Genomic DNA, 25,080 nt, shown 5'->3' on the forward strand with positions numbered 1-25,080 from the left:
TTTCTCTGAGCTTCCCCCAAAGGGGTTTGACCAGGGCCTGTCCCCTGCCCTCGGTTTTTATGGTGAATAACTGCAAACACCTTGCAAAACCGCAGGGTCCCAGAAAACCCTATTTGAGAAGGGCCCTACCCTCCACAATCAAAGGGGGATACAATCTACCCCAGCAGGGGCGGAACATTAACAAGGGCGGAGAGCAGCAAAGGAGCGTGGGAGAAAGGTCACATTCTTGCTACCATGAGGTAGTTAAGGGGTCAAGAGCCAGGCAGAAGCTGAGAGCAGGAGCCCGAGGCCCACCTGCTTATGGACACAGGGATCCCCAGACCAACGCACAGGGCACCTCCAGGCTTCCTGCAGTGGCTACGCACAGGGCATCTCTGGGCTCTCTCCAGCTGATGCGCTTCTAGCTGCTGTGCCTGGCCACGTGGTTTTCCTGTTTTGGGTCCACTGCACCCTATACTGGGAGGCTAACCTGTATCACCTGGACATACAGTTTACGTGCTCCCAAAATACCTGCACTCAGCGGATGGCATAAAAACCTGACGGCGAGAACGCCAGCCTCCTTCCTCCTTACAAAACCTTTCTAGTGGGAAAACATTTAACAAGTATTTGCTAAGCACCTGTTAGGGCCCTAGAACTCTAAAAGTAACAGGAGGACTTTAAATCATCCACTTGCAATTTACTAACTTGCCATTTGTTAATTTAACAGAGACATTTCTAGAGAGAACTGGGCCACACAAATACCCGCCCATCGTCTCCCAGCCCACCCTCTGCTGCCTATGGGAGGAAGAGCAGCTCATTCTCACAGGTTGGGCAGAAAGCTCATGGATGCTCCGTGCAGTGCAGGGTCGCTGAGGCGTCACATTTACGCTAAAACAGAAGTGCCCCATGATCCACCTCTATCAACTCCCAGTGACTCAGACAAGGACCGCAATCACCAGGCAGGGGCAGCCCCTTCTGAACCTGGGCACAGAACACTCAGGGAAGCTGTTCGCCGTGAGGACGTGGACACTGGGAGCTCCTGATGGGCCTTGGCAGAGGCCTGACTGATCAGATCTGCACTTTGGAAAGGTTCTGAAAGCTGTGGATAGGCTGATAGGGAGTCTGGAGCCTACCTGGCTCCCAGGGCAGAGATGAAAAAAAAGAGAAAGAGACTGCAAGGAGGTCGCGCCACTGTGTTTCAGAAACTAAGTCCCCGTTGAAGGTGGAAAGGAGGGAAGAGCTCTGTTAGACCTAGGCTTCTGAGTAGGTGGGGCTCTCTCTTTCTGGGAAGGGACAACAGTAGTGGGAACAGCTGGGGCACACACAGATGTATTTGTGGGCACCCCAGAATTCCTCATGGCTGAGGCTCAGGATAGCAAGCAGAGCTGGCTCCAGAACAGGGAGTTGGAAGGAAGGGGAGCAGGTGGGCCTGCCTCGGAGGCCTCGGAGGCAGCACAGCCCACCCAGGCCAGGAGCTCAGCGTCTCAGCTTCCTCATCTGTAAAATGGGGCGATGCCACTCCTCCCTCAGGGTCATGTGAGCACCATCCAGGTCAGGACTGTGCGCTCTCAGGACAGGACAGAGGGCCACAGAAGCTAGGCCTCTGCTCTGACTAAGGGGGTGGGTGTGTGGGAGGCCCGGGAGAGACTGTCCAACGGCTTCGGGACAACGCCCGTCTGATAAGACTTTTAGTGCTAGGGAACAGCTGCTAAGGGTTTTTTAATAATGTGAAAAGATGATTATAGGCCGGGCGCGGTGGCTCACGCCTGTAATCCCAGCACTTTGGGAGGCCGAGGCGGGCGGATCACGAGGTCAGGAGATCGAGACCATCCCGGCTATAACGGTGAAACCCCGTCTCTACTAAAAATACAAAAAATTAGCCAGGCGTAGTGGCGGGCGCCTGTAGTCCCAGCTACTTGGGAGGCTGAGGCAGGAGAATGGCGTGAACCCGGGAGGCGGAGCTTGCAGTGAGCCGAGATCGCGCCCCTGCACTCCAGCCTGGGTGACAGAGCAAGACTCCGTCTCAAAAAAAAAAAAAAAAAAAAAAAAAAAGATGATTATAGTAAACTGGCAAGGGTGAAAAGCAAAAGAGCAGATTTTTATTCATCCAAAAGCTGGTTACATAAAAACCAACGAGAATGAGACAAGATGGGAGCCGGAAGGAAACACATGAAAATGTTCACAGCTGAACCCAGGGTGACAGGACTAGGAGTCAGAGACTCTCTCCTTCATACGCCTTTGTCCTTTCTAAAACTTCCCAGAGCAAACAGGTCCTCCCTTATCATTAGAAAGGAGAACAATGCACCCTGGTTTGTTAAAGGAGAAAGCTCTTGGCATTCTCACTTTGTAATTTGCTGTTTCCTTTCAAGCTCAGCCTCTGGGAGGCTTTTCATTCTGTTTTGTGTCTCGTTTACCATTCCCGTTCAGTTTCATTTTATTTCTTAAATGGACATCCTCACCAAAACCACCACCACCAACAAAATCACTACCAATGACTTTTGCACAAACAGACCAAAGAAGTGGGCCACCTGTGTGAGTTCTAGGGCAGCTGTCTCTCCAAACCACATCACAAGTGCCCCCAGAGCCCTTCATTGTCTTTCTCAGCCTCTTCACTGCTCTGTCACCAACTCACACTTCATTTGCAACAGCTTCTTACAGGGTGCTGAAGGAAGAGCCAGTAATTAGAGCTACCAGGCAATGGGCGCATCTACAGAGGGACTCTTCATCTTCACAGAAGCAGCAGAGAGCTGAGGATGCTATCACGCCCATTTTACATGAGGACACTGAGGCACAAAGAGGCTCAGGGATGGTCCAAAGTTAATCCAGCAAGAAAAGGGGAGCACCAAACTGGAGCCTGCACAGGCTGACCTGGAGCCGTGTCCTTGAGCACTCTGCTTGTTCAATCAGAAAGCCACCACTCTCAAAGCACACACACACACGCACATATGCAGGTATGCACACATGCACGCACACAGAGGATGTGCTTAGCTGTATGTGTGCCCTGGGCGTGGACACCAGCACTCTGCCCAGAAGGAGGCCAATACCCGCCTGGACCAGGGTCTCTGCAGACAGTGGCACAGGGCGGTCATGGCCAGTCCTGCAGCGCCCTGGCCCAGCTGGTTTTCTGGTTTTTCCCCATTTCACTGGCTACAATGGCTCCTTTTTCAGATGCAGGCAGCCAGCTGAGTGCTGACACTCTAATTCTAAAGGTCACCCCGTGACATTTCCTGCAGCCTCAACTACCTTCCAAGGCCTCAGCAGATCAGGGTCACAATGCTGGCCGGCATTTAAGAGAAACTGCGCTGTTTTCTTTTTTAGGACTTCGCATTTATCTAATCATTTCTGGATCTTTTTCCTTGAAAATAAGTCACTAAATAACAAACCGAGGCAGCACTGCTTAAATGTGTCCCCAGACAGGGATGAAATGGGGTGCCTGTCCACTGTCGGGCCCCGGAGCTGTGCTTCAGTCAGGTCAAGGGAGCATGGGAACCAGGACTTTCACCTCCGCCCGGGAGATTCTTCGGGGCAGATATATTTAGAAAGCGTGGATTAATGATTAATGATTAAACTCACTCACCAGGTCTGTCAAAAGTGGACAGTCCTGGAGCCATTTGCCCTAATTTCCCTCAACATTCAATATTTGATTGTCCCCGCCAAAGAAGTGATCAGCTCTCCAGATGGCTCCAAAAGATGTTCGTGGGGCTGCAGGGAACAAATAAAACTCCCATTTCTGTTTGTTTTCATGTAAAAAAAAAAAAAAAAAAAAAGGAATTAAGTCTTATGCTGCTTCCTACAAGGGCTGGCCTATGCATCCTTGGGTCAGGGGCACGGGTGGCTCCCCAGAAGCCTCTGGACCCCATGTGCTGCTCTTTGTAAGCTCTGACAGAAGTGGAGACTGAAGACAAGGCAATCACAAAGGTGCCTGAGCCCCCAACCTTCCCACGAGCAGCCAGCGCTCACCCAAACCTTGGCCGCAGGATGAGGCAGGCCCACAGCTCTGTCAGACAGCAACCCAGGGTCTCTGAAGTGGACTTCGCTCCAGAAAGGGTCCCATGCTGTCCCAGAGAGCAGCGATCCGTGCCACCAACCTGTGGGCAAGCCACAAAGGTCCCCGCTAGAAGATGGGACCCAGAGCTTTGCATTGCCATTTAACTCAGACACTGGTGTGACAGCATAGGGTTGAGACGGGGTTGCAGAGGTCAAGTCCAGACTCTGCGGCTCCCTGGCTGCCCGGCTATGAGCTACTGTGGAGCGGTGCTGTGCTGCGGTTTCCTTAACGGAGGGAATCCAAAGCAGGACATGAGAACGCCTGTGCATCACCTGTGGTCACTGCTGGCTAATGAGGCCTGGGGATGCCAGGCCCCAATGGTAGCGCCCATCACAGTGCCAAGGACTTGCCTCGGGATTGCACCACGCTGTCACCATGAGCCCCATCCCCTCAGCACCCTCTGGGCTCAGCCCCACCTGACACAGGGCTGTGCCACAACGAAGGCCACAAATGCAAAAAGAAAATCTTAGAAAGACTATGTTTATCACTTTAGAACTTTTGAGAAAATTGAGACCTTGAAAGTGAAAGTGAACTTTCAAAACAGAAAGGTAAATAGTGTTCTTAGAATTCAAGCGGCAACATGTGCCTCTTCCACAGGGCCCCCAAGTCAAATCATTATTCCCGGTGCCGCGGCTGCTAAGTGCCTCTGTCCCTACATGGCCACCACTACTGATGCTGAGATGAGAAGACACCAAAAAAAGGCAGGAATTAGCACAATATTGAAGAGATACCTGTGTGTCATGGGTCTTTAGGGTTGCTAAAATATTTCACAGGATAAAAAAAATTAATGGACTAAAACATAAACAAGAAATTCCAAACCAAATAATTCTCCTCACCAAACATTTGCTGACAGCAAGCTCAGGGAACAGCAGAGGCCCGTCTCGGTATTCCGGAAGCAGCCAGACCTAAGATCAAATCCAGGCTTGACGACAGACTGGGCTGGTGCCCTGGACAAGCGGTGGCTTCCAGAAGCTGGGGGAGCCCCTGGGCATCACGTGGAGATGAGAGAAGATGCTTCCAGAACCTGACACACAGTAGGGATCCGGAATCGCCAGAGCTCTTGCACCTCAGAGGGAAACAGGGTATCCTGAAGTTCAAGTGCATGCACACCGTGGATACTCTAGGGTCCCAGCAACCCCAGCTATTACAATCACACTGTCACTGGGTGAACGCTGTGCACTCTACAGGGGCCTCCTCATTTAGTCATCATAGCCACTGGGGATGCAGGTGCCCCTGCAGCCTCATTCCACCCACATCCGGTGCACAGCACACACAGGATCAGCAGTGATAGGAACAGCCTGCCACTCTTTACAGAGCCGTGAGACTGTGGCTAAATCATTTATCCAGCACCCAACAACGTGGAAATCATGACACTCCACCTACAGGGGCTAGGCTAGAAAGGCATTTAATCAAACATTTTAGAATGATTTTCATTTAATTATCTCTCGGAGACTTAACTGTGTCATATGATGAACAACATTATTTCCTCCTAAATGTACTGAATCCGGAAGCAACCCTTCATGGCCATAGCCTATTTTTTTTTTTTTTTTTTTTTTTTTGAGATGCAGTCACTCTGTCGCCCAGGCTGGAGTGCGGTGGCGCCATCTCGGCTCACTGCAAGCTCCGCCTCCCGGGTTCATGCCATTCTCCTGCCTCAGCCTCCCGAGTAGCTGGGACTACAGGTGCCCGCCACCACGCCCAGCTAATTTTTTGTATTTTTAGTAGAGACGGGGTTTCATGTTAGCCAGGATGGTCTCGATCTCCTGACCTCGTGATCCGCCTGCCTTGGCCTCCCAAAGTGCTGGGATTACAGGCATAAGCTATTGCACCCGGCCTGTCATAGCCTACCTTATTCCAAATATCCAAAACCTGGAACTGGGGGCAGCCTGCCACCATGAATATCCTCTCAATGTCAACACATCCACTGCCAACATCAGAGTGAAAATGCCTCATGATTGGTCCATCCTGTACAATAGGTTTATTTGTTTTGTTTCAAATGCCAAGTAGAGATATTTAAGTACAGGGACAGAGCGTGGTGCAATGATCAGGACGGAGGTGCCTAACAATCCCAATAAAATGCTGACATGGGCTAATCTCAAGCAGATATTCTGATCCCCTCGCACAACCACGGCACTGGGGTGCCGAAACCAGAAGAGACATGCACACGAGGCAGGGCGAGTGGTGTTTATTACAGCTGTACAACTGTACAACGGGAGGGCAGCGACACGTGCTTATTTGTATTAATGTTTAACAGACTAAGGGCCAACATTTGCTTACTGGCTAAGTGATTTTCAATAGGATGCACTGAAACAAAAGCCAATTCCTTGAGTGAGAAGCGTCATGGGTAGAATCACGGAGCAAGGTCCTGCCCACCTGCACTGGTGGCCTCCCAGCAGCTCTCATAGACCCTGGACCCAGCACAGTCCAGCTGGGGCCCAGGGACTGGCACAGCTGTTCCGCTCTGCTCCCGGCATGTCACAGGGGAGGCACACACCAGACGAACCAAACCAGCAACAGAGCGGAGAGCCTGCAGGGACGCAGCTGGGGACTAAGCAGATGGGAGACCGGCAGTCCTGGGGCTCGGGAGACAGGGGAGACAGAGAAGGAAGAGGGGTCCCATCAGAGGACTCCCTGCAGTGCTCCATGAATTTCTCCCGAATTCCATCCGTAAGTGCCTTTCAATCCATGCCACTGAGGGCATTTCTGCTCCTTGTGACTAAGTGAACTCCTCTAGGGCGTCCCTCTCTCTAACACAGAACTTCTCTTCCAGTCTCCTCAACAACCTTGGGAAGGAGCATAAATTCAGCAACACACTGATGCTGGCCCAGGCTGTGCGCTGTGAACCTACTCCCATTCCAGTACAAGCATCCCCTCTTTTTACCCCAACTGGGAAATTCAAACAGATGAAGCCTCATCCATTCAAATCACTGATAAAGGATGATCCTCAAACTCTCAGTCTAGAGCCTTCCTGAGAGTGCGCTGTAGGTAGCTACTGGCCACATGTGGTTACTTAAATTGAAATTTAATTTAATTTAATTTGAAATCCAGTTCCTCGGCCACACCATCCATGTGTTGATGTGGCTGCTGACAAGCTCAACAGTCAGGCATGACCAGTGGCTGCCCCGATGGGCATTGCTGCTATGGACCATTTCCGCCATCGCAGAAAGTCCTGGAGTGGAGGACCAAGGAGGCCTCTTCTTTATAAAGCCCTCTTTGTATCCCAGTGTCTTTTCCTCTTTTTCCAAATGAGCAGGAAAAAAAAAAAATTCCCAACTGAACTTGACTCTGCTCCACCCATGTGGATGAAGCCAGGCTGAGCTTCCCTGCAGAACAGGAATGAAGACACAGAAGTGGAAATAGCACACCTTTGTTTCCCGGAGAACCCCAGGAGCTGTAAAAACACCCGAACTCCCCTCTCCGGTTCTTACAGAATTTTTCCGACTGCTCTTTCCTTCTTTATCCTCTTCCATAATTGCACGCTGCGTGATGGGAGGGAGAAGTGAAAGAGAAGGGAAAGAAGCTCGTTTTCCTCATTCCGTACATCGTGTCCACGCAGTGCCAGGAAGGGCTGCAGAGAGGAACGTCTTCGGGGTCCATGTGGGACCCCTCCCTAGGGCAAGGGCCCTTAGCTCTGGGCTTCTCTTTTCCTGGGGCTGCCCGTCCAGAAGGACAAGCCCTGCCCCCTCCTCCGGGCTCCAAGAGCACTGCTCATTCCTCCTGCTGCTGCTGCTCAGCCGGGTCCCTCAGCCCCGGCGGGGAGCAAGGCCTTCCTGCAGCAACCCCTCAGGCCAAGCATAGCCAGCACCCCTCATGCCCCTCATGGAGCCAGCCGGGCACCACCCCCTTACTCAGCGGCAGAAGGCCCCTTCTGGAAGGGGGTATCTCCCTCTTCCCAGCCTCTGGTTCTAAAGTCGGTCTCCCATCCCAGCCACGACGAGGGGCGATGGTGGGGCGTATGCAGCGTGGGAACTGACCCTGCCGTGAACATTCCTCCTGCCTGCTGAGTCCTCGATCTGCTCTCAAAGTAACAGCTCCAGGGCGAGAGCAGCAGCCCACAGCCAGTGATGCCAGGCGAGGCCAGTGATGCCAGGCGAGGCTCCCACACTGGCCCACATTTCTAAATTCTGCTGGTGCTTTCTTTCTTTTTTTTTTTTTTTATTTTTCTCTCTTGAAACAGGGTCTCCCCTCTGTCACCCAGGCTGGAGTGCAGCGGTATGACATGGCTCACTGCAGCCTCGACCTCCTAGCTCGAAGGATCCTCCCACCTCAGCTTCCTGAACAGCTGGGACTACAGACGCATACCACCATGCCCAGCTAATGTTTTTAATCTTTTCTGTAGAGAGGAGGTGTTCCTATGTTGTCCAGATTGGTCTCAAACTTCTGGCCTCAAGCAATCCTCCTGCCTCAGCCTCCCAAAGTGCTGGGATTACAAGTGAGAGCCACTGTAGGCCTATTTCTTTCTTTATGAAAAAAAGTAAGAGTAAATTGTGATCAAATACTACAATGCTACTGCGGTGTGATTCCTGAATGGTAAAAACCTTACCATGCTTTGTTTCTCCATCAGATGCCTTGCTCCTCACTACTGCCAAGGAGATTACGCCTAAGACTGATGGTACAAGTCTTTTCTTTAAAACAAACAAACAAAAAAACACAACAACAACAAAAAAAACAGGCAGGGGGTGGGGGATTCAGAGTCCTTTACTGTGAGGTCAAGAATAATTCCTAGCCATGGAAAATAATCTCTAATGATGCTATAAACAGACAGCTCACCAAATCAATCAGAAAACATTCTCAGTATCATTCTCAGTCTGTCAAGAACAGAAAACCTAACTCCTGCAGGCTTTACTGTGAAATGCTTAGAACTCTGTCCTGATTGGAGAACATGGCCCCTTGTGATGGACAGGCAGGCGGCGGCCAAAGCCCAGAACCCAGCATTAGCCAAAGGAGGCATCAAGCTGAAGTCTCGGGTGAGTTCATTTCAAAGTCAAGGGCAAGGCCACCCTGGCAGCAAATTCTTCTGGCTACTCAAATTCGAATATTGCAGAACTAGCACTAGAGTTGCCAAGCTATAAAACACGAGCAGAGAGAGGAGGCCCTTCCACAGGAATCCAGATTAGCAAAACCCCTTGCTCTCTTCATCAAAACTCAGATAAGTTAGCTGAAAACCTGGGGACGGAACAGCTTCCCCCAGGAAGGAGAATCCACGTGGGGCCATGACCAAGCACTCCAAACACTGCAGCGGGCGCTGCCCCTCTTCCAGCGACACAGTGGGAGCAGCCCAGCCATCCAGTGACTTTTTGTGGACATGGCCCAGCCCCTCAACCCTCGAGCCAGGACCCAGTCCAAGAGCACAGCACCCTCCACTCTCCCTGGGCCTGAGCATGGCACCAATGTGCTTCACGCAGAGCGTTTCGTGGGCGCACCCCTGCAGGAAGAACCATCGCTGCTCAAGGCAGTCATCTAAGAACTGCTCACTCTTGAGAAGGGCAGGTCATCTTACTCCTCCCCAAAAGAGTCTCTCAAGTTAGGCTCTCACCCATAGGAGGGACTTGCTGGGCGTGCGGGGAATGGCATTGTGGTGACAGCCCCAAGCAGGGGGCCACACAGGCTCAGGCCCGGAGCACCTTGGCAGGGAGAGGAAAGGTGTGGGCACTGCCTGGGCACTCTGCATGCTGGGCTGGGCGTCACCCCTGCCACCTCGGGAGTCCTCAAACCCCCCCCGGGTGGGAGAGGTCATCACCTCCGCGTACTGAACAGAAGCCCAGCTCAGGGTTCAGGGTGGGCCCCTGGATTCAAAGTGGCAACAGAGCCTGACTCCAGCCTCAGGGCGTGAGGCACCTGGCCCTGGCCTGTTCCCATCCCACACCCGGCTGCTCAGGCCTGGGGACAGGAGGGCACAGGGACAGGCCTGGAGGACAAGGTCCCTGGAATCCCCGACAGCTTGACAATGTGAAATAAGTTTCGCTTCCTTTTTATCTACGCTCCCGGATTGACTTGTCCTCCTCTGATGCCTGGTTCCTCTGCCATCAAGACCCGCCGTCTGGTGTGAAGGGAAACGTCCCTCACCCTTCTGCAGTCGCCACCGAGCACTCGTGGTGTGGCCCACAGGGCATCCTGCGAGAGCGTCACAAGCACCCCACGAACAAGACACGGCAGCGTGCTTCCTCGATCTCCCCGCTCCTTTCTCGGGACAGCCTGTGGCTTGTTCTCCCTTAAGAATCCTCTCATCAATGTTACGTTGTCAGCTTTCTCTGTTTTCTTTCTTTCTTTTTTTTTTTTAATTCACAATTGAGGAAACCAACAGGTTGAGCTGCTGCCTCAAGTAAAAAATTCAAGTCAGCCCTGATGCTGTCCATGTTTTTTGTAAAACTTGCTCACTTGTAAACAACGTCGGGCAGCAACTGCAGGCCTCACCCCTCACTCTTCAAAAGCGACTGCGACAGCTGCATCCCCCGTGCTCAACTGCAGGGCGCGGCACTCGCCTATGCTCTCATGAAGCCCCGTGCCAAGGGCTTCTCCGGGACCCCAGATACCCACCAGACCCTACAGGCCTGCCCCGTGGCCCTGGGAATGCTTGGCACCAAGGTCCCACTTCCCACCTCAGTCAAGCACCTGCCTCCCAGGCCTCACCAGTCTTCATCTCAGCCCGCCAGGTCCTCTCGAGCCCCTGGAGTGCCCTGTGAGCCACAGCTTATAAAGCAGATAGGACCAGCTCTGCATCAGACCCCTGTGTGCAGGCCCAGCTCCCCGACCCGTAAGCAGTTGACCTCAGACCAGCTGCTTAACCTCTCTGAGTCAGCTTTCTTACCTATAAATGAGGATAAAAGCAGGATATTCACAAAGCCCAGAGCTAGAATGCCTCAAGCAGTGTGAGCTCGGGGAAGAAGTCCACACAGGACACAAAGCCCAGAGCTGGGAAGGCCTCAAGCAGTGTGAGCTCGGGGGAAGGAGTCCACACAGGAGCAGTACCTGTTGCAATATTTTTATTACATGCTGGGAAGATTAAATGAGATAAGCCGTGTAAACACCAGGCACATAGAAAGCATGAAATGATACCAGGTGGTGGCATGGTGTTACTTTCATTATTAATAATTTGAAAAAGCAGATTAACAGCTCAGGCCCTGCTGAACTCAGAGCCCCCATGAGGATAGAGGCTATAACGTAACAGACATGAAACGTCCTGAAAGCTCCACGTGCAAAGTGAGTTGCTTATGCCTGCGTAAACTTCTTGTTCTTCAAAAGATATGCTGTTTTTAAAAGGGACTGACTGGTGAAAAAACCTCACACACAAGGCAGTGCCCCTTTGCCAGGTCCTGTAAACACTACCGTGTCCTGCCCTCGGCTCCTGGGGTCAGGAGCTCTCAACGAAGGTGTGACCCTTGTGCCCAGCGTGCAGACTCCAGGGGTAACTGCTTGCTTCTGAATCTCCTTAATGGAGCTTAGGAATGACACGCTATGGACGCTGACTGTCCAAGCAGAAACAAGGCCCCCTTGGGGGCTTTCTAAAGTTAGTAAATACATGTATATATAATATATATACACACACATAGGAGAACGCGAATGACTGGGCACCCAGGGTCTCTGTGGGGAGCCACATGGCCCAGCAGAGAACACAGTTAGCATCACAGAGTCCAGCCGTCCCCTCCCCACGTCAATAGGACAGTCCCGCGCTTTCTTCCAGCCGGCCTGGGGCATGTCAGGAGGCAGGGCCTGTACTGCAGGCTCTGTGTTCTTAGACAGCCTTTGCAGGGGGCAGAGGTGCCCACTGCCACATGGGCACACACAGGAGGCTCACCACGTTTCTTCAAATGCAGATGACAAAGCAGCTTGAGTAACACAAATACGGCCACACTCATCTGAGGATTGCTGCTGTGTTTTCTAACTGCATGGCCATGACCAAGCAGTCGGTTTTCATCCAGGTTGGTAGTCAGGTTTCTGAAAGCGATGGCAGTCGCCTCAGGGCTGACACGGGGAGTCTGCTTGGCACACCTTCACCCTCGTTACATTTTCTGGACAATGGTAGGGAACATTCCTTACTCCGCTGGCCTGTCAGCTTGGCTAAGCCTGGTGCAAGTGGCTCGCTGTGGGTCCGCGGCTCCATTACGGGGGAGTCTGGGTCATCTGTGAGCCCAACAGCGCCCTGCAGGCACAGACAGCCCTGGCTTCTGCCTCTTTCTTTGTGGAAGCCACTCTGTCAGGCCTGGGATGGAGGGGCAAGAGGCTTTCAAATTTTTCCTTATTGTTGTATATTTTTTAAAAAACTATTTATTTTAATGGTGAAATAAGTTCTAAAAGTTTCTGGACTTGTAGGTAAATGAATAAGAACTGAGTGTGGTTTTTAATCATGTTCACATTATTGGTGACGGTGCGGCTTAGTTTCATTTAGTGACTAAATTCTAGCCATCCCTAGACTGATGGCCACGAAACGTGTATTTCGAGTTGAAATACATTTATTTAACACACATGCACACACAATTACACGTGCACACAGGAAGCTTTAGCAAGTACTTCTCTGACCCCATTCCCTAAACACGACTGGGAACGAGGCTGCCGCTGCCCACACGGGCCCTGAATCTGACAGCATTCAAGGAGACCACGGAGGAACCGTGACAAAGAGCTGGTAGCCACCGGCATTTCAGATGAATGCAGCACCCTGGGCAAGCACAGTGTCTGCGTCTCCCCCACGCTGAAATGATTCCTAGTGTCCTAGACTGCCTGGCTTCACATGAGAAACACTCTGCTTAAGTAACTACTTCATCACTCAAGGTCCCAAAGAATGCTGCCCACCTCGGTCAGCCTTGCTTCTAGAAACCGAGGATTCTGGGTTTGGAGGCACCCCAGCTCTTCCCTGGGAAGTCATTTTCCTGAATAGATCTGACTTCCACTTATTTTCCTATCATTTCCCATCTTTTCATACATTTAGAAGGCAAAAAAAGTTCATCTTTCTAGTGATTCCAGGAGCTCCCTGGCCCATCCACAGGTGGGTGAGCTCCCACCCAGGTCCAGCAAGTCAGTGACTACAACAGAGGACACAGCCTTCCAGTGGACACGAGGACCTCAGAGGCCACCTGGCCAGGCCCCATCCACGGATGTGTCCCTGCCCAGGTGCCAGCAAGGACTGACTAATACCTGACCCAGGGCCAAGCTATCCTGTGTCCCATACTCGGCCCGTAGAGCCATCAAATCATCTGGGCCCCGACACACTTGTTTCGTACCTTTCCCGGTCATGATACAAAACATAAGCTGGAAAGGGTGCTCTTCACCTAAACAAGGTCAAACACAGGCACTACATCAGGCACCCCATGTTCCCCCTATATGCCCCCCACACTGCCCAGGTGATGGCAGAACCCAGGTCCTCGGGCGCAGAGCATCCAGGGCCCAGGGCCCACAGGGTTTTACATGGTGAAAAGGGGTAGGGGGTGAATGCTAAGGGGCGAAGGCAGGACCCCACCCCAGCCAACAACCGGGAGACCCTGGCCTGGTTTCCCACACACCCCCGAGGAGCCAGACAGGATCGAGAGAACCTTCTGGAAGGAGCTGCAGGGATGCATGGGGGCGTTCAGGAATGTCCAAGGAGGGCCTGAGCCTCCCGTGTGCACCTCCCCAAGGGCGCCTGCACCCTGGGCCCAGGGTAACCCAGAAGCAGCAGGAGCCGCAGGACCATAGGGGCCACCGGCAGGGTGGGTGATGCCATCCTTCCCACTCTCGCCCTCCGGCCTTCATTCAGCACTCTGGTGAGCCCAGAGGCCCGAGTCGTCCGGATGGCCCATCTCAGGCCACACCCTCCAGCTCTGTGCCTGCCGTCCATCCTGGGTGCCCACGAGGGGTCTGGAAACCCTGACAGGGAGGGAGAAGAGAGCCCTGGGCACAAAGCCCAGGGCCTGGGGCAGGCTCCGTGCCCCAATGGTCATCCTCAGATGAGTGGGGGCTGTGCTCAGGACCCTCAGGGGACCATGGGCTACTTTCAGAAACAAGAGGGTGTTCTGTTTAGAAGCAGAGAGCCGAGGAGCCGGAGGCCCCAACACAAGAGCGGCTCTCCGTGATGCCCAGAGGCGGCCACTGGGCCCCAGGAGAGAGGGGCTTGAAGGATGGGTACCCCAAGCTGTCAAAAGACCAAGTGGCTACAAAAGGGAACCCCCCTCCCACCACTAATCAGGGACCTGCCAGAGATACGAGGGCCCAGTGGTCACTAAGGCCCATCTCTGCAGCTCCGTCCTCTCACCTAGATAAAGTGAGTGTCTGCTTCCTGGACCTCGCAGACTCACCAGGGACCCTAAACTTGGTTTTCCAAATAGCCAAACGACAACTCCTGCTCAAGAAAACGCATGCAAGAGAAGCCCTCCTCACTCAGATGACGTTCTCATGACCGCACTTGGTCTAAGCAAATGCTGCTGGGATGATTTTCTTCAAGTTCTCTTTTAGAACAAGCAAAATGGAATGAGGATGTCGGAGTGTTTCGTGCTTTCTTTCCAGAGGGTTTCCCAGCCTGAAACGCCACCCCACAGCCACTGTGGATTTGGGGACTGTCACACACGTCTCCACGCACCCCGAGCCACATCACGTTTTGCCACTATCTCAGAATTCCTGATCTCCACCTGAAAACGGAACACAAGGCCCGGCAGCAACAGCCAGCAAAGTGTCCCCATCCCCCCCAAAGTGAGCGGCCACACAGCAATGAGTGGCCACACAGCAACGAGCTGCGAGGAGCCAAGGATGGCCCATCCCACCCCCAACGGTGAGAGCCGGGCCCATCACAAGCCCTCTCTGGGCCTTGTCACTCACCCTTCCTACACCCCATCACTCACCCTCCCTGGGCCCCAGCTTCCTCATCTGTGAGATGGGGGTGGTCAGCGTGCAGGAAGCCCTCCTTGACGATGAGCTATCAGCTTAGGGACAAGAGAGCTAGAGACCCGGGGGGGAGTCCACTGCCTTGGGGACACGAGGGAGCCAGGGTCACTTTCTTCCTCATCAAGCTGGCCCCCTGGTGACACGGGACAAGAGGATAACCTGCTTGGTACTCAGCAACAGGCTTTCCTAATAAGAATTCCACACTTCCATGAGGCTGTAATCAACTTGGGAGTGAGGAGTTCCTTAGCTTCCTGTTTTCAGAGAGTCTTCTTAGCAAAGTGAGGAATCTGCAGATCTCTCTGAAAGATCAGCTACCAAAGGAAAATAACAATAATGAAGATATCGTTGGTGGAATACATAACCTCCATCCACAGCCAGATACTGCTTCCGGAACCACACTTCGTATCCAGGTGAGCTCGTTTTTTGTATTTCAAAAGCACAAAGATCTATGTTCATGGTGTAGTCCAGGCAGAGTGTGGTTAACAGGCCTCCGGGTGTCCCCCCCTTCCAGCCCAGTGCAGGGGTTCAGCCGCTGCAGAAACTCCGAATCTGCTAACGTGAAGTGCCAAGACTGCTGTCCGCCAGCGCCCTCACTCCCCCAGGGCCTGTACCTGTAGCAGGAGGCTCACGTTCCGAGTCCTCATTGCTCCCAGACCCAAGGGCAAGGCTGTCACAGGCGAAAGACGGGTTCCCCTTCCTCTACACCCAAGCCCTCGGAAGCACGCTGCAGGCCCCTGGAGGTGCCACAGTGCTCCCAGCTCCCCCAGAGGCTGAGTTCAAACATTCTAAACGGATTCTTGATAACAAGCCGCCGGCTCGCTGGAAGACACTGAGCAGTTACATAACAGCACAGAAAATCCCTTACAAGTTTCTTAAAAAAGAGTTAATCGTACTGACTTGGTGCTTTACCTTCAGCCCAGACTTTCGCTTAATCCCGGAAACTGCTCCAAAGGCGTTTTTCTCAGGGCGTTCGGCGCCGTAACTCAGGAGAAACCCAAGTCCTGCTCTCCCGGCGGCCTCGCTGGGGAAGAATTCAGCCGCTCCACCCTGACATCTGGTTTCTATTTCATATCCATGTTGTCACATTACATAACAAGCAGATGATACGAGAGATCACCACAGTGTTTCGGCTCGAGAGTCACAAAGAACGCCCAGAACACTGTTTATATTGGGGGCCATGAACGTTCACCAAACCAGACTTAGTGCAGAGGCTGCACCCTTCCAGGCTGAAACCCAGCACCTACAGCAAATGCCCAAGGAAGCAAGAAGCGGGACCCCGCCTTCTCAGCCACCTCTCACTAACACTCAGCTCCACTCCTGCTTCCTTCCTCTCACTCCACATCCGAGTTAGAGGGAAATACGATTTATCTCTGGCCTGCATTTACTTCTCCTGCACCTGGCGGGAGGCTCTGGCCTTGCAGGCGTGCAGGAGCCCCTGCCAGTGAGGGCCAGCGAGGGGCCCAGGGAGAAGATGGAGGTCAAGTCATAGGGCCTCCACCGCAGGCAGAGCTCCGCCAGCAAGTATCCTGGGAGCTGGGGGGCCTCAAGGGAGGCAATCCCCCCACACACCATCCCCTTCCCCTTCGCTCATCTGGGGAAGCTGTGAGGACTGGTGTTGATAAAACATTCCAACCACACACTCAGACCATGGATGTGGCCGTGCCAGCAGGGAGGCCAGCAGCCCCTAGCAGAAGGGTGTTCTGGAAGCTGCCCCCTCCCATGCTGCTGCCTGGTCCCATGGGGCATGAAGGGAGGGTGGCCAGGGTGGCCCGAGCCAGCATCAGGCACAAGGCCCAAGGAGTTTCTCCAGAGCAGCCTGTCCTCTTCGGTCCAGAAAAAGTCAGATTCCACAGCAGGGTTAGCCGTCCAGTTAGGGAACCCACTAAGGGGCTCTGTGCGTAGAGGTGCTCAGAATCAAACCACTAAACCCCAGGACCCCCTGCTGGGGGAATGGTCCGTGGCAGTCATTCAGCCTTGGAGTGAACCGTTCTGCCCAAGTGCAAGTGAGAACACAATACTTCTTATTATATACAGAATTGCCAAAGCCAACGTGATTAGTAGAAAAACCGACATGTCAGTGACTTGGGGGTCTGGTTTGCCCCAGATGTGGGTGGAAACCCCAGGCGTCCCTCAAGCCTGGTCCAGAGCTCCACAGACAGCAGATACACAAACTCTGAGTGACAGCATTGGTGTTTAGCAGATTCTGGATTTTGCTCCCCCCCGAACCAAGTATAGAGAATGTTTCACAGAGTAGCTTCAACAGAAAATGGCCACAGTGTGTCTGTGAGAGAGTGTGATGTTCCCGGGGGGATGGCTGGGGCCAAGGGAAGGCCCCTCCCATGAGCCCTGCCTCCATGAGACTGCGTAGGGCAGGACTGCCAGGCAGAAAGAACACAGCACAGGCACAAGGGCAGACCCAGGCTGGCAGGGCTAAATGGCTTCAGGAGCTCCCCCCTCTGCCCCCCAGGGAGTAAAGGCAATGATGCAAATATGATAAGCAAACAGAGGTCCCAAAACACAGAAAGGGCCAGGACCCTGATGCCAACCAAGCAGACCCAAAACTGGGTCTGGGAGCACAGGGCAGGGTCGCTGAGTGCAGAGGGGCCTCACTCAATGTCCAACACTTCCCTCCAAAACAGACATGCTGGTGAGAGGCTTCAACCCTTCCACTGGCCTGACACCTGGATCTCTGCTGCCCTGTGCCAGGTTAGCCACGTCCAACACCACCACGGCCACCGGCCATTTAAGAAAACGAACCCTGACGTTAACCTGCTTGAGCCCTAATACTAAGCAAGAGCAGCGCCACAATTCCAAAACTGCAGAGAGCGCCTTTTAAACATTCTGCTGAGATCTGCGCGGTCGCGGTCTGACAGGCAGGCCTTCTTGGCTACCTGTGGTTTCATTCCAGCATTAACAGGCACCTAAAAGGCCTGTGAGCTTTTGTGGGGTCAAGCAGCATCAGCTCCACTTTACAACCCCGCAGAGTGAGGTGTTAGCTCTGCAGCTCCAGGGCAGAGCCTTGCAGCCTTAGGGCCAGGGGGACGGCCTGGCCCCTTCCGAGCTCTCAGCAGCCTGAACTCCACGTGTCCCCTGCTGTGTCACTGGCATGCTGGTCTTGCATGGCACTGAGATGTGTGGCACAAGCAGGCACCAAGCCCGGAGACACCCGACGCTCACCGTTAGACTGGGTAGCATTTGTCAAGCGCCGAGCAAACAGTGGATGAAGTGTCCTCAGCCGGCGTCAGCTGTTCTGATCCGCAGAACACATAACTCCTGGCACTCCTTTCCAAGCATCCGGGAAATGTAGAATCCAAGTGTTACACCATCCAGTTGAAGATGACAGATTTACGATATAAAACGGCACCCGCGACTGAGGACTTTGTAGGAATGGAGGCCGCTGTCATTATTTCATGGGTGAGGGGGAGAGGGACACTGTGACCCATGACAGGAAAGGACAGCTCAGCCCCTCCAAAACCACACACAGGGGACTCCGTTTCTCACAAAACTTCAAGTTTCTGTTCTACGCAAACATTACAACACATTTTAAACTACATTCTGACACGAAGCTCCCGTGCTTTTTAATGGCAGGTGTTACAATGATCATGGAACAGTGATGGGGCGGTGCTTCCTCACGGTGACATGGCAGGGAGAAGTCTGGACCGGAGCCAGCAGGGTCCTTGACCTAAGAGGCCTTGGGCAGCCCACGGGGCAGCTCTGAGCAATCTCCTGTGAAAGGAAGAGCTCAGAACGGGTTCCTCTAAAGGTTCCTTCCAGAGCAGGGGTTCTGTGGTTCCCTGGGGCCCTAGACTAACATGAGGAAGGGGAAACAGAGAAGAATGCCCACTAAAAGCCTTACCCAAAAATTGAAAGCCAAGAAAAATCACACCAGATCATCTCAGTTTAGACTTGAGGAACCTCGGCGCTGACATCACTGTCACCATCACAAAACACTGGCCACCAAGGTGCCACCTACCACACTGCAACCTGGAAGGAGGGGCGGGCAGGGGCACCCCTGGGCAGGGCAGGACACCAGGCCAGCCAGCCACCCACGCTACAGAGGAAATGCAGCCCCTCCCAACTAAGAGAACCCTGGTACCATCACCACAGCCTTGGTGCCAGGGCTCCTAGCACCTGACAGGGAAGATGAGAAGGACATTGGCTGCCGCCAAGAGGCCTGCTGCCCACCCCCAACTGCACGGTGGTGGTGCTGCCAGCACCACCATCCATGCTGGCCCAGGAGCCCACACGCAGGGCACGCACGCACGTAGTTCCACATTAGGCCCTTTCTTCCTCAATTGTTGGAAAGAAGGCCAAAGCCAGATGATGGTGAAATTCACGAGGAAAATGTCCCCGACTGTCCTCCATTCTAAAGCAAACGCTAAGAATGGGCTGCTGGGCTTCAGCAGAAGCCAAGTCACCTTTCCTCTATGCGTCCAATGAAACGAAAACATCCACACTTGTCTTTATAAAAACGGAAAACTGCATCTGGAACAAGGTCTGTGGCGTTTCTTCCAGCGTGTCCCATGGACATGAAGTTGGTCTTCCTATGGGTCCTCCAAGGCACACCCCTCGACTGCACCACAGCACTGAGGGCAGAATGTGGTGGTGGCCCAGCTGCCGTGGCGCCGGCAGACTAGCCTGGTACACGGAGAGGGGAGCCTGCTGACTGTGGGTAGGCCACGTTCCCCCAGTGTCTTCATCTGCAGAGGGAGACCGGGAGCCTCTGAAGACCGCTCCAGCTCTGCACTGTGGGGGCGGCCGGCCAGCAGGCAGGCAATGCTCTCAGGCCCCACGCTCCTCTCACTGGCTGCCGACGGGAGGCAGACGAGGTGCCGGGGGCAGCCTGCAGAGCAAGGAGTCAAGGTGGCCAGCCTGGGGCAGGGTGTTCCCCCAGCCAGGGAGCTTCACTCAGGCTTGGGCTCTGTCCCGTGCCTCCCCGGGGGCGTTCCGAGGTGGCGGAGGAGGAAGCTGCAGCCCGTTATCCACCGCCCAGTCTCTCCCTCTCACCAGCACACAGATGTTCTCAGCGGCAGAGCCTGGCTTCTGCCTGAATTCATTTCATATTTTTAAATATGCTCTTAATGGAAAGCAACAAAAGTACTTAACAAAATGCGCTGATGTAAATGTCCCTGCAGCAGCCAGGGACTAATTTTAGAAGGGGCTTTGAGGAGAAACCCAAGGGACACTCACTTGCTGGAAACGGCCTCCTCCCCAAAGAGTGTGAGGATCTGGATTAGAACCAAGTATCCCCAGGCTGCCCAGGAGCCCGCTCCTCCAATTGGGGGCTGGCCATCCCACCGAGCACTGATACCGCAGGCTGGACTCTTCCTAACCTCACGAGAGGTGATGACCGGAATCATCCCAGTTTTCCATGGCACTTCGCAAACACAGCTGGTCAGGCCCTTAGCACCTCCTGACCCCCCGATCTCCCAGACTCTCTGCTGGAAGTTAAGGACACAGAGAAAGTTTCTTATGAAAATAAGCGCCTCAAAAGAAAGCCAACGTACAGCACTGGTGACAGAAAGGAAGATTCAGAAAAGCCTTCACGCCTGGCAATATGGCACACGCACTTTTAGAGACGTCTAATTATACTCAGGGCTGAGTTGGCTGAAGAGTGAGGAATATACTCCAAAGACAGGAATTCAAGGCAGGGCAAATAGAACATGAAAGCCAGCCTGGAGCCCAGGGCCTGTCCTGGGGCAGCCACCTGCACTGCCTCTTACCACTGCACCGTCCCTGTGAGTGTGCGTGGGGAGGGGCTGTAGTTCCCTTGGCAGGGGAAGCCAGAAGACAGGCCTGCAAGGGACACATCCGGGCCTGGGCTTGGTGCTGGCTAGAAGGGGTCAAATCGAGAGAGGACTCCCCTCAGAACTCATAATCCCAGACCCCTCGCAATGGTTTGGGGAGAATTCAGACAACCCATGAGGCCTGATGAGCATCCCTAGCACCTGCAAACACAGGCATGTCCCAGGTGGCACCTCCCAGCACCAGGCAGAAACCTTCTCTAGAGGAACACGCTATGAACCTCAAAAAAACATCCAAGAAGGACGGACATAAAGTCACAATCAAGAACCATGGGTAGCGGGAGTAAGTCCCGGAAAGACCTCAGTTGTAGGAAAATCAGGCACTGACCCAAAACACATACGAAGGACACTCGACAAAACAAGAGAGGTCATCCAGGGTCAGGCTGGAGCTAGAGGCCTCCAGATCCTGTCACTTAGTGACTGTACAAACCTGGTGGCTTCCTCAACCTCCCTGTGCCTTAGCTTCCCATTTGCCAAAAAGGGGGATTAGAAGAGCCCACACTCTCCCTGGAGCAAGGCTAAGGAAGAAAGGAGACAGATGTCTCAGCTGTTATTATTAATAACTATCAGAAGTGTCACATGGATCTGAATGATCCAAATGGAACTTGTAGAAACAAAACTGTCATCATTAAAATTTAAAACTAAATGAGTGAGTTAACTAATCAAGTATTAATAGACAGAGCTGAAGAGAGAATTAGTGAACAGTAAAATAGCACGGAAGAAATAAACCAGGATGCAACACATAAAGGTAAAGAGATAGAAAGCTGGAGACGTTAGAGGACTGGAAGGACAGAGGAAGATATGCTAACACACATCTGTAAACCAAAAATAAAATTCTAAGCTCCCAACCATCTGAATGGACCCCTCCTCTCAAGCCAAGGGCATTCCAACATTAACCTGAAAAGCTAGTTCAGGTCGTGATGGGGACGGGCATTCAGATGTGCCTCATGATACCCTCCTCCCTTTTGGAATTGCTGATAGAACAGACTCTTTAAGTCTGATGAGAAACATTTCAGTCTATTCTCTCTGAAGCCTGCTACCCGGAGGCTTCGTCGGCATGGTAAATCCTTGGTCTCCACAAACCCTTATCATAATCCAGACATTCCTTTGTGTTGATAATAACTCTTTCAACCAACTGCCAATCAGAACATTTTAAAATCTACCTATAATCTGAAAGCCTCACACTTCGAGTTGTCCCGCGTTTCTGGACTGGACCAATGTTCATCTTCCACATACTGACAGACGCCTCATGTCTCCCTAAAAATGTATGAAACCAAGCTGTTCCCCGACCACCTTGGGCACATGTTGTCAGCACCTCTTGAGGCTGTGTCACAGGCACGTCCTTAAGCTTGGCTAAACAAACTTTTTAAATTGAGTGAGACCTGTCTCAGATACTTTTGGTTTACACACCTGTAATCAGAATCCCAGAAAGAAAGAAGAGAGATGATGGGAGAGCAACGGGCAATGCCGATGCACGAGCGCTAGAGAAACATTCAAAATGAAACCCAGCATGCCCAACCACATGCTAAAACACGCCTCAAAGCCCCTACGCTTCAGAGAGCACGACAGACACCATCAACCCGGCAGACCAGGTGACAGTGAGAAAGTCCAGAAACAGAAGTACAGACGGAACTCCAGGGCAGGATAAAGGTGCCCATCTCAACCACTGGGACAAACAGGGATGTTTTAATAAACAGTACTGGAGACAATTGGGTTGCTGTCTGGGAAAAGATAACATTAAATCCAAACCTAACACCATACACAAGGGTAAACTCCAAACGAATTGGGGATGCAAATGTAAAAAACGAAACCGTACAAGCACTCAAAGAAAACATCTTCTGGAAGTCAAGGAAGGCTTTCTAACCAGGACTGAAAATCCAGATGCAATTTAAAAAAAACAGTAAGTTTGATACATGGAGGAAAAACCTTTTACAGGGTGAAAGCAGCATGAGAAAGAATGTCAAAATACAGTGGACAAACTGTGAGCAGTTACTTGCAATACACATGAAAGACAAAGGCCAAAATCTCTTCCATCAGTAGAACTCTTACAAACTGTGTGAACAGAGACCAAAAGCCTAACAGAAAAGCCAAAAGCAAAGACAGAAAAACGGCCCTTACAAACTGAAATATCCTTCATCTACCAAATCAGCAAGTAAGTAATACACTCCACTCCAAAGCCCCGTGGGAATAGGCTCGCTCAGACACTACTGGCGGAAATGCAAACTGATATAAGTTTCCTATAGGAAATCTTGAGAAAAATCTAATAAAATGATATAATCTACTTATCTTTTGATAGAAATCACTCCATAAACCAACTCTGAAGATAAAACTCAGATGGCAGGCCCGGTGACTCTCACCTGTAAATCCCAGCACTCTGGGGGGCCAAGGTGGGAAGATCACTTGAGCCCAGGAGTTTGAGACCAGCCTGAGCAACACAGCAAGACCCCATCTCTACAAAAAAATTAAAGATAAAAAAATTACCTAGGCATGGTAGCACGGGCCTGTAGTCCCAGCTACTTGGGAGGCTGAGGCAGGAGAACTGCTTGAGCCCACGAGGTGGAGGCTGTAGTGAGCTGTGATTCTACCACTACCCTGTACAGTATACCAATGGGCCCTAGGTAAGAGAGCGGCTGGATGAATTGCAGAGTGTATGGCTGTCCACAGGAATGAGCAGGAGCCTGTGGACAGACGTGGCGTGGTTTCCAGGACATACTGCTAGGGAAGAGGAGTTCCCTGTAGGACATTCTTTCCGTGCAAGAAAGTGGGCAAATGAAAGCACACAAGGCCACCCAGGAAAGAAAGGGTAGCTCATGGGGACAGGGTGGAAAGGACAGGGGACAGCAGGGGTAGGGGACCCGCTTCTCTGAGTCTGGCTGCTACACAGTTCTGGCTTTTGAAGCTGCAATTGGGTTTCACATCATCAAAAAGTGAAAATTAATACAATCAAAAAGTACACAGGGGGAAAAATTCTAAACTGAAATACAAACAGAAACAAATAACCAAACCCCATTTCAGATGAGTAACAACCACGCTGGGGCAGGGTGGGGTGTGCGTAAGAGCTTGCCAAAGTGGCTTTTAGACCCGGTATCTGGACCATACGCCTTCAGCGACTGCTGGACTCTAGTTGGGGGTTTCTTTTTCACAGAGGCATAGGTTAATAATCTCTGAGTATTCTGGGATTGAGACTGAACAAATAAGTAAGTACATGATGGATTCTGAGAGCTCCACGTCTCCTTGTCAGCAGAGGGAGTAACAAATGTGAAAGGAGAAGGCCAGCCGGTGGCCTTTGTGAGGCTGGGCTGGAAGTGAACTGCCATGTGTGTGGGTGGGGCCGGCGTGTGTGGGTGCAGGGGCCGATCTACACACATCTATTCACAGCTCTGGCGGCCGAGAGCTGGTTTCTAAATAGCATTCCCCGAGAAAGGAACCAGGCCGCCTTGAGAAAAAGCTGATTCCAGGCCAGGACAGGGTAAGTACAGGCGAGATTAGGACATTTTGTGTATCCAAGAGAGTAAAGAAGGGTCCCAAAACGGGAGGGACCTGCCAGAAACGCCAGCATGAAGGGGCTCTCATTGGCCAAACTGGAACAATTTGGGCAGCAGAATAGATATTGATAATAAAAGGTTATAACCCAGTTAATAAATTAGGAATCTATGAGTTCAAACTAATATAAGTAAACAATAAGGAAACACATAAATAAGGAGGAAAGGAAAGCTCTTTACAGGAGAAAGTTAACTACAGGAGTCCACATTTCACGTTGTCCACAGGTTCTTGGAAACCGCAACTTTAAGCCAACGACAGAGGGTCCTCAAGCAATGCCAGTCGTTTGACTATAACACTGGTGCACTGGTGAGAAAAATAACCTTGGTTTTATTCTGTATTATTTCACTTAAAAGTCAGTTTCCAAGAACCTCCTGAGGTTAATGAGGGCTTCCCGTCCTGAATGTAGCAAGAACGGTGACACTAGATGACCATTTCACTTAAAAGTCAGTTTCCAAGAACCTCCTGAGGTTAATGAGGGCTTCCCGTCCTGAATGTAGCAAGAACGGTGACACTAGATGACCAGTAGCCACCACCACGACAACAACAGACTCCGACAAAGAACCATCAATGATGCTGAGACTTGTGGGTCAGTGCTCGGGGAGTAGCAGGCTGTCTGCACAGTCCCAGATTATCTCCCTACCAGATACCTGCTAATTATGCAGGAAACAATGTAACTTCACAGTGGAAACACCCGCCAGCATCACCTTCACTGAGAGCTTCCGGGCAGCATCAGCAGCAACGAAATACTGCGGTGGCCGCCAAGCCCAGCGGCATCACTGGAATCCAATCACGAGGAAACATGCCGAAATCCCAAGCTGAAAAACATTTTACAAAATAGCTGCCCCTACGCTTCCAAAA

The 25,080-nt window shown here is 52.2% G+C and overlaps 1 protein-coding gene and 1 non-coding gene across 44 annotated transcripts in view, besides 6 other annotated features; one reads left to right on the top strand and one right to left on the bottom strand.

Moving 5' to 3' along the window:
• Positions 1-25,080, bottom strand: part of HDAC4 (histone deacetylase 4) — a 353,482-nt gene that overhangs the window by 245,135 nt on the left and 83,267 nt on the right. For 6 of the 43 annotated variants that reach the window (XM_047446487.1, XM_017005394.2, XM_011512219.3 and 3 more), the window contains exon 1: positions 15,238-15,910. The exons of 26 other annotated variants lie outside the window; for them this stretch is intronic. In XM_047446487.1, coding sequence (XP_047302443.1) covers positions 15,238-15,331 — 94 coding nt within the window. In that variant the 5' untranslated portion in view covers positions 15,332-15,910. Of the gene's footprint in view, positions 1-4,863; positions 5,229-14,832; positions 15,911-25,080 lie in introns of those variants that run through there. 11 more of the 43 variants (XM_047446497.1, XM_047446495.1, XM_011512225.3 and 8 more) reach the window with 3 other exon arrangements.
• Positions 856-915: a silencer, noted in NCBI's record as "silent region_12499". NCBI's record gives its function as "represses an Ori minimal core promoter by ATAC-STARR-seq in GM12878 lymphoblastoid cells {active_cell/tissue: GM12878}" and the evidence as "EXISTENCE:reporter gene assay evidence [ECO:0000049][PMID:35858748]".
• Positions 2,225-2,841: an enhancer, noted in NCBI's record as "NANOG-H3K4me1 hESC enhancer chr2:240217222-240217838 (GRCh37/hg19 assembly coordinates)". NCBI's record gives its function as "activates a minimal SCP1, AML or CMV promoter by ChIP-STARR-seq in naive H9 embryonic stem cells {active_cell/tissue: H9 hESC(naive)}" and the evidence as "EXISTENCE:reporter gene assay evidence [ECO:0000049][PMID:30033119]".
• Positions 2,842-3,457: an enhancer, noted in NCBI's record as "H3K4me1 hESC enhancer chr2:240217839-240218454 (GRCh37/hg19 assembly coordinates)". NCBI's record gives its function as "activates a minimal SCP1, AML or CMV promoter by ChIP-STARR-seq in naive H9 embryonic stem cells {active_cell/tissue: H9 hESC(naive)}" and the evidence as "EXISTENCE:reporter gene assay evidence [ECO:0000049][PMID:30033119]".
• Positions 9,837-9,926: an enhancer, noted in NCBI's record as "active region_17387". NCBI's record gives its function as "activates an Ori minimal core promoter by ATAC-STARR-seq in GM12878 lymphoblastoid cells {active_cell/tissue: GM12878}" and the evidence as "EXISTENCE:reporter gene assay evidence [ECO:0000049][PMID:35858748]".
• Positions 12,160-12,243, top strand: MIR4269 (microRNA 4269). The gene has a single exon (NR_036229.1). It is a non-coding gene; the product is annotated as a microRNA 4269 (primary transcript).
• Positions 14,263-14,909: an enhancer, noted in NCBI's record as "H3K4me1 hESC enhancer chr2:240229260-240229906 (GRCh37/hg19 assembly coordinates)". NCBI's record gives its function as "activates a minimal SCP1, AML or CMV promoter by ChIP-STARR-seq in naive H9 embryonic stem cells {active_cell/tissue: H9 hESC(naive)}" and the evidence as "EXISTENCE:reporter gene assay evidence [ECO:0000049][PMID:30033119]".
• Positions 17,604-18,104: an enhancer, noted in NCBI's record as "H3K4me1 hESC enhancer chr2:240232601-240233101 (GRCh37/hg19 assembly coordinates)". NCBI's record gives its function as "activates a minimal SCP1, AML or CMV promoter by ChIP-STARR-seq in primed H9 embryonic stem cells {active_cell/tissue: H9 hESC(primed)}" and the evidence as "EXISTENCE:reporter gene assay evidence [ECO:0000049][PMID:30033119]".

The sequence above is a fragment of the Homo sapiens genome, chromosome 2 (assembly GCF_000001405.40).
Source record: "Homo sapiens chromosome 2, GRCh38.p14 Primary Assembly".
In the NCBI taxonomy this organism is placed as follows: Eukaryota; Metazoa; Chordata; class Mammalia; order Primates; family Hominidae; genus Homo; species Homo sapiens.